The sequence below is a fragment of the Homo sapiens genome, chromosome 10 (genome assembly GCF_000001405.40).
Source record: "Homo sapiens chromosome 10, GRCh38.p14 Primary Assembly".
Lineage (NCBI taxonomy): Eukaryota > Metazoa > Chordata > Mammalia > Primates > Hominidae > Homo > Homo sapiens.
The window spans coordinates 109,652,415-109,661,234 of record NC_000010.11 but is presented as its reverse complement, the minus strand read 5'-3'; the positions used below and the strand labels follow the sequence as shown (position 1 = coordinate 109,661,234).

At 40.5% G+C, this 8,820-nt stretch overlaps 1 annotated feature.

Annotated features, from left to right (window-relative positions):
* Positions 8,007-8,506: an enhancer, noted in NCBI's record as "H3K4me1 hESC enhancer chr10:111412487-111412986 (GRCh37/hg19 assembly coordinates)". NCBI's record gives its function as "activates a minimal SCP1, AML or CMV promoter by ChIP-STARR-seq in naive H9 embryonic stem cells {active_cell/tissue: H9 hESC(naive)}" and the evidence as "EXISTENCE:reporter gene assay evidence [ECO:0000049][PMID:30033119]".

Here is an 8,820-nt window from a genome sequence, read left to right as displayed (position 1 = left end):
GTAAATGGTGTAAACGCCCCCAATTAAAAGGCATAGACTAGCAAGTTGAATAGAAGCAAGCCCCAGTGGTATGCTGTCTTCAGGAGACATATCTCACAAGCAACGACACCTGTATGCTCACAGTAAAAGGATGGAGAAAAATCTACCAAGCAAACAGAAAACAGCAAATAGCAGAGGTGCTAGTCTAATGTGAGACAAAACAGAGTTTAAATAATAATAATCATAAAAGACAAAGAAGGGGATTTCATAATGGTAAAGGGTTCAATTCAACAAGAAAACCTAGCTATCCTAAATATATATGCACCCAACCCAGGAGCACCCAGATTCATTAAACAAGCTCTTAGAGACCTACAAAGAGACTTAGATTCCTACACAATAGTAGTGGGAGACTTCAACACCCCACAGACATTATTAGACAGATCATAGAGGGAGAAGACTAACAAAGATATTCAGGACCTAAACATGACATCTGACCAAACGGATCTAACAGACAACTACAGAACTCTTCACTCAAATGCAACAGAATATACATTCTTCTCATCTGCACATGGCACGTACTCTAAAATCAACCACACGATTGGCCATAAAACAATTCTCAGCAAATTCAAAAAACCAAAATCATACCAACCACACTGGAACTACAGCACAATAAAAATAGAAATCAATACAAGAAGACTGCTGAAAACCATAAAAGTACATGGAAATATAAAAACCTGCTCCCGAGTAACTTTCAGGTAAAGAGTGAAATTCAGCTGGAAATCAGTAAATTCATTCCAACTAATGAGAACAAAGATACAACATTCCAAAATCTTGGGGGAAACTACTAAAGCAGTCTTAAGAGGAAAAAAGTTTATGGTGCTAAATACTCACATGAAAAAGTTAGAAAGATCTGATTAACAGCTGAACATCACATTAACAGGAACTAGATAAACAAGAGCAAAACAATGCCAAAGGTGGCAGAAGACAAGGAAGAACCAAAATCAGAGCTGAACTGAAGGAGACTGAGATGCAAAAAACAAAACAAAACAAAACAAAACAAAAAACAAAAAAAAACCCAAAGAACAATGATTTCAGGAGTTTGGTATTTGAAATAATAAATAAGATAGACTACTAGCCAGACTATAAAGAAAAATGAGAGAAGATCCAAATAAACACAATCAGAGAGGACAAAGGGGACATTACCACCGACCCCACAGAAATACACAAACCCCTCAGAGACTATGATGAATACCTCTATGCGCACAAACTAGAAAACCTACAAAAATGAATAAATTCCTGAAAACATACAACCTTCCAAGATTGAACCAGGAAGAAATTGGAACCCTGAATGGACCAATAATACCAACCAGAAAAAGTCCAAGACCAGACAGATTCTCAGTCTAATTCTACCAGGTATATAAAGAAGAGGTGGGCCGGGCACGGTGTCTTACACCTGTAATCCCAGCACTTTGGGAGGCCGAGGTGGGTGGATCACAAGGTCAAGAGATTGAGACCATCCTGGCCAACATGGTGAAACCCTGTCTCTACTAAAAATACAAAAATTAGCCAGGCTTGGTGGCATGTTCATGTAGTCCCAGCTCCTCAGGAGGCTGAGGTAGGAGAATCACCTGAACCCAGGAGGTGGATGTTGCAGTGAGCCAAGATCACACCAGTGCACTCCAGCCTGGGTGACAGAACGAGACTCCATCTTAAAAAGCAAAACAAAACAAAACAAAAATTCAAGTTGAGATGTGGGTGGGGACACAGCCAAATCATATCAGCACACATGAATTCATGTTGAAAATGTATCAGAGAGAAGGAAGATAACATTTACAATGTTATAGCATTGGATTTGTCAGATCCCAGTTGATGTGAACCATAATGGATCATCATCATCTGAGGTGATTTTCTAAACCTGATGCAGTATAGAGGAGACAGTGTATGATGGAGGAATGCCCCTGATGGCTGGCCAGCTAGCAGGGACTAAAAACAGCTAGCATGGCTCAGAAGACTGAGGCACACACTGTAGTAGAACTCCTGAGCTTTAAATCCCCAGTGCCATCTGACAGTTTTGCTAATGGTGGTCTCCAGCTATCCTGTGAAATGTCTTATATCCTAATGCTAAGGACCTAGGAAAGAAAACTTGGGAAAGAGAAAAGGGGCAATATAAACAAAGAAGTAAAACTAATCTGACAGGAAAGGAAAATATGCATTATTCTTATCTTCAACTCATAGCAGACATCACTAATTTCCCATCATACCTTCCCTGATGAGTGCTGAGTTACCTCAAAACTCTCATTAACCCATCCTTTCAGGCAGAACATCTCAGTATTTCAGAGGAAATCAATGTGTCATCTTTGATCTATGACCATATTTAGTGTTATTCTAAACACCCCAGCTATGAGAAATGAGAAATCCTAACCTTTGGGAATTTAAGAATAGACAGAAAAGGGTCTTTGTATAAACTACCTAAAATCATTTTCTTTCTTTATAACTATAACTTAAACCATTCATTTATAGTTTCATCATGCTTTACATTGTGTTTACCTTTTCATGTAATAATAATACCTTAGATGAGTATGGTATTTTTATTATTTACAAAATATTCTCAAATGTTAGCATTCTTGATCCTAAAGTCAAGCATTATTTTTCATTCTAAGATTAAGAAAACAAAACAGAATCATCCCTGAGGCAGAGGCTTAGAGAAGGTAAGTGACTTCTTAATTTTATATATATATATATATTTTTTTTCCAGTGGAAATGCTTTTATTTTTTTATTTTATTTTTTATTATTATTATACTTTAAGTTTTAGAATACATCTGCACAACATGTGCCATATTGGTGTGCTGCACCCATCAACTCGTCATTTAGCATTAGGTATATCTCCTAATGCTATCCCTCCCGCCTCTCCCACCCCACAACAGTCCCCGGTGTGTGATGTTCCCCTTCCTGTGACCATGTGTTCTCATTGTTCAATTCCCACCTGTGAGTGAGAACATGTGGTGTTTGGTTTTTTGTCCTTGTGATCGTTTGCTGAGAATGATGGTTTCCAGCTTCATCCATGTCCCTACAAAGGACATGAACTCATCATTTTTTGTGGCTGCATAGTATTCCATGGTGTATATGTGCCACATTTTCTTGATCCAGTCTATCATCATTGGACATTTGGGTTGGTTCCATGTCTTTGCTATTGTGAATAGTGTGCATGTGTCTTTATAGCAGCATGATTTATAATCCTTTGGGTATATAGCCAGTAATAGGATAGCTGGGTCAAATGGTGTTTCTAGTTCTAGATCCCTGAGGAATCGCCACACTGTCTTCCACAGTGGTTGAACCAGTTTACAGTACCACCAACAGTGTAAAACTGTTCCTATTTCTTCACATCCTCTCCAGCACCTGTTGTTCCCTGACTTTTTAATGATCGCCATTCTAACTGGTGTGAGATGGTATCTCATTGTGGTTTTGACTTGCATTTCTCTGATGGCCAGTGATGAGGAGCATTTTTTTCATGTCTCTTTTGACTGCATAAATGTCTTCTTTTGAGAAGTGTCTGTTCATATTCTTCACCCACTTGTTGATGGGGTTGTTTGTTTTTTTCTTGTAAATTTGTTTGTGTTCATTGTAGATTCTGGATATTAGCCCTTTGTCAGATGAGTAGGTTACAAAATTTTTCTCCCATTCTGTAGGTTGTTCTGTTCACTCTGATGGTAGTTTCTTTTGCTGTGCAGAAGCTCCTTAGTTTATTTAGATCCCATTTGTCAGTTTTGGCTTTTGTTGCCATTGCTTTTGGTGTTTTAGACATGAAGTCCTTGCCTATGCCTATGTCCTGAATGGCATTGCCTAGGTTTTCTTCTAAGGTTTTTATGGTTTTAGGTCTAACATGTAAGTCTTTAATCCATCTTGAATTAATTTTTGTATAAGGTGTAAGGAAGGGATCCAGTTTCAGCTTTCTACATATGGCTAGCCAGTATTCCCAGCACCATTTATTAAATAGGGAATCCTTTCCCCATTGCTTGTTTCTGTCAGGTTTGTCAAAGATCATATTGTTGTACATATGCGGCATTATTTCTGAGGTCTCTGTTCTGTTCCATTGATCTATATTTCTGTTTTGGTACCAGTACCATGCTGTTTTGGTTACTGTAGCCTTGTAGTACAGTTTGAAGTCAGGTAGCATGATGCCTCCAGCTTTGTTCTTTTGGCTTAGGATTGACTTGGTGATGCGGGCTCTTTTTTGGTTCCATATGAACTTTAAAGTAGTTTTCTCCAATTCTGTGAAGAAAGTCATTGGTAGCTTGATGGGGATGGCATTGAATCTATAAATTACCTTGGGCAGTATGGCCCTTTTCACGATATTGATTCTTCCTACCTATGAGCATGGAATGTTCTTCCATTTGTTTGTATCCTTTTTTATTTCCTTGAGCAGTGGTTTGTAGTTCTCCTTAAAGAGGTCCTTCACGTCCCTTGTAAGTTGGATTCCTAGGTATTTTATTCTCTTTGAAGCAATTGTGAATGGGAGTTCACTCATGATTTGGCTCTCTGTTTGTCTGTTATTGGTGTATAAGAATGCTTGTGATTTTGGCACATTGATTTTGTATCCTGAGACTTTGCTGAAGTTGCTTATCAGCTTAAGGAGATTTTGGGCTGAGACGATGGGGTATTCTAGATATACAATCATGTCATCTGCAAACAGGGACAATTTGACTTCCTCTTTTCCTAATTGAATGCCCTTTATTTCCTTCTCCTGCCTGATTGCCCTGGCCAGAACTTCCAACACTATGTTGAATAGGAGTGGTGAGAGAGGGCATCCCTGTCTTGTGGCAGTTTTCAAAGGGAATGCTTCCAGTTTTCCCATTCAGTATGATACTGGCTGTGGATTTGTCATAGATAGCTCTTATTATTTTGAGGTACATCCCATCAATACCTAATTTATTGAGAGTTTTTAGCATGAAGGGTTGTTGAATTTTGCCAAAGGCCTTTTCTGCATCTATTGAGATAATCATGTGGTTTTTGTCTTTGGTTCTGTTTATATGCTGGATTACATTTGTTGATTTTCATATGTTGAACCAGCCTTGCATCCCAGGGATGAAGCCCACTTGATCATGGTGGATAAGCTTTTTGATGTGCTGCTGGATTTGGTTTGCCAGTATTTTATTGAGGATTTTTGCATCAATGTTCATCAAGGATATTGGTCTAAAATTCTCTTTTTTTTGTGTGTGTCTCTGCCAGGCTGTGGTATCATGATAATACTGACCTCATAAAATGAGTTAGGGAGGATTCCCTCTTTTTCTATTGATTGGAATCGTTTCAGAAGGAATGGTACCAGCTCCTCCTTGTACCTCTGGTAGAATTTGGCTGTGAATCCATCTGGTCCTGGACTTTTTTTGGTTGGTAAGCTATTAATTATTGCCTCAATTTCAGAGCCTGTTATTGGTCTATTCAGAGATTCCACTTCTTCCTGGTTGAGTCTTGGGAGGGTGTATGTGTCGAGGAATTTATCCATTTCTTCTAGATTTTCTAGTTTATTTGCATAGAGGTGTTTGCAGTATTCTCTGATGGTAGTTTGTATTTCTTGGGATCCGTGGTGATATCCCCTTTGTCATTTTTTATTGCGTCTATTTGATTCTTCTCTCTTTTCTTCTTTATTGGTCTTGCTAGTGGTCTATCAGTTTTGTTGATCTTTTCAAAAAATCAGCTCCTGGATTCATTGATTTTTTGAAGGGTTTTTTGTGTCTCTATTTCCTTCAGTTCTGCTCTGATCTTAGTTATTTCTTGCCTTCTGCTAGCTTTTGAATGTGTTTGCTCTTGCTTCTCTAGTTCTTTTAATTGTGATGTTAGGGTGTCAATTTTAGATCTTTCTTGCTTTCTCTTGTGGGCTTTTAGTGCTATAAATTTCCCTCTATGCACTGCTTTGAATGTGTCCCATAGATTCTGGTATGTTGTGTCTTTGTTCTCATTGGTTTCAAAGAACATCTTTATTTCTGCCTTCATTTCGTTATGTACCCAGTAGTCATTCAGGAGCAGATTGTTCAGCTTCCATGTAGTTGAGCGGTTTTGAGTGAGTTTCTTAATCCTGAGTTCTAGTTTATTGCACTGTGGTCTGAGAGACAGTTTGTTATAATTTCTTTTCTTTTACATTTGCTGAGGGGTGCTTTACTTCAAACTATGTGGTCAATTTTGGAATAGGTGTGGTGTGGTGCTGAAGAGAATGCATATTCTGTTGATTTGGGGTGGAGAGTTCTGTAGATGTCTATTAGGTCCGCTTGGTGCAGAGCTGAGTTCAATTCCTGGATATCCTTGTTAACTTTCTGTCTCGTTGATCTGTCTAATGTTGACAGTGGGTTGTTAAAGTCTCCCATTATTATTGTGTGGGAATCTAAGTCTCTTTGTTGGTCACTAAGGACTTGCTTATGAATCTGGATGCTCCTGTATTGGGTGCATATATATTTAGGATAGTTAGCTCTTCTTGTTGAATTGATCCGTTTACCATTATGTAATGGCCTTCTTTGTCTCTTTTGATCTTTGTTGGTTTAAAGTCTGTTTTATCAGAGACTAGGATTGCAACCCCTGCATTTTTTTGTTTTCCATTTGCTTGGTAGATCTTACTCCGTCCCTTTATTTTGAGCCTATGTGTGTCTGTGCATGTGAGATGGGTTTCCTGAATACAGCACACTGACGGGTCTTGACTCTTTATCCAATTTGCCAGTCTGTGTCTTTTAATTAGAGCATTTAGTCCATTTGCGTTTAAGGTTAGTATTGTTATGTGTGAATTTGATCCTGTCATTATGATGTTAGCTGGTTATTTTGCTCATTAGTTGATGCAGTTTCTTCCTAACCTTGATGGTCTTTACAATTTGGCATGTTTTTGCAGTGGCTGGCACTGGTTGTTCCTTTCCATGTTTAGTGCTTCCTTCAGGAGCTCTTTTAGGGCAGGCCTGGTGGTGACAAAATCTCTCAGCATTTGCTTGTCTGTAAAGTATTTTATTACTCCTTCACTTATGAAGCTTAGTTTGGCTGGATATGAAATTCTGGGTTGAAAATTCTTTTCTTTAAGAATGTTGAATATTGGCCCCCACTCTCTTCTGGCTTGTAGAGTTTCTGCTGAGAGATCAGCTGTTAGTCTGATGGGCTTTCCTTTGTGGGTAACCCGACCTTTCTCTCTGGCTGCCCTTAACATTTTTTCCTTCATTTCAACTTTGGTGAATCTGACAATTATGTGTCTTGGAGTTGCTCTTCTCGAGGAGTATATTTGTGGTGTTCTCTGTATTTCCTGAATTTGAATGTTGGCCTGCCTTGCTAGATTGGGGAAGTTCTCCTGGATAATATCCTGCAGAGTGTTTTCCAACTTGGTTCCATTCTCCCTGTCACTTTCAGTTACACCAATCAGACGTGACATAGATTTGGTCTTTTCACATAGTCCCATATTTCTTGAAGGCTTTGTTCATTTCTTTTTATTCTTTTTTCTCTAAACTTCTGTTCTTGCTTCATTTCATTCATTTCGTCTTCCATTGCTGATACCCTTTCTTCTAGTTGATCGCATTGGCTACTGAGGCTTCTGCATTCATCACGTAGTTCTTGTGCCTTGGTTTTCAGCTCCATCCAGTTCTTTAAGGACTTCTTTGCATTGGTTATTCTAGTTAGCCATTCGTCTAATTTTTTTTCAAGGTTTTTAACTTCTTTGCCATTGGTTCGAACTTCCTCCTTTAGCTCAGAGTAGTTTGATCTTCTGAAGCCTTCTTCTCTCAACTCATCAAAGTCATTCTCCATCCAGCTTTGTTCTGTTGCTGGTGAGGAGCTGCATTCCTTTGGAGGAGGAGAGGCGCTCTGATTTTTAGAGTTTCCTGTTTTTCTGCTCTGTTTTTTCCCCATCTTTGTGATTTTATCTACCTTTGGTCTTTGATGATGGTGACGTACAGATGGCTTTTTGGTGTGGATGTCCTTTCTGTTTGTTAGTTTTCCTTCTAACAGTCAGGACTCTCAGCTGCAGGTCTGTTGGAGTTTGCTGGAAGTCCACTCCAGACCCTGTTTGCCTGGGTATCAGCAGCGGTGGCTAAAGAACAGCGGGTATTGGTGAACCGCAAATGCTGTGCCTGATCGTTACTCTGGAAGTTTTGTCTCAGAGGAGTACCCGGCTGTGTGAGTTGTCAGTCCGCCCCTACTGGGGGGTGCCTCCCAGTTAGGCTACTTGGGGGTCAGGGACCCACTTGAGGAGGGAGTCTGCCCATTCTCAGATCTCAAGCTGCATGCTGGGAGAACCACTACTCTCTTCAAAGCTGTCAGACAGGGACATTTAAGTCTGCGGAGGTTACTGCTGCCTTTTGTTTGTCTGTGCCCTGCCCCCAGAGGTGGAGCCTACAGAGGCAGGCAGGCCTCCTTGAGCTGTGGTGGGCTCCACCCGGTTCGAGCTGCCTGGCTGCTTTGTTTACCTACTCAAGCCTTGGCAATGGCAGTCGCCCCTCCCCCAGCCTCGCTGCTGCCTTGCAGTTTGATCTCAGACTGCTGTGCTAGCAATGAGCGAGGCTCCATGGGCGTACGACCCTCCGAGCCATGTGCAGGATATAATCTCCTGGTGTGCCATTTGTTAACCCCGTTGAAAAAGTGCAGTATTAGGGTGGCAGTGACCCGATTTTCCAGGTGCCGTCTGTCACCCCTTTCTTTGACTAGAAAAGGGAATTCCCTGACCCCTTGCATTTCCCGGGTGAGGCGATGCCTTGCCCTCCTTCAGCTCACGCACGGTGCGCTGCACCTACTGTCCTGCACCCACTGACTGTCCGGCACTCCCCAGTGAGATGAACCCGGTACCTCAGTTGGAAATGCAGAAATCACCCGTCTTCTGCGTGGCT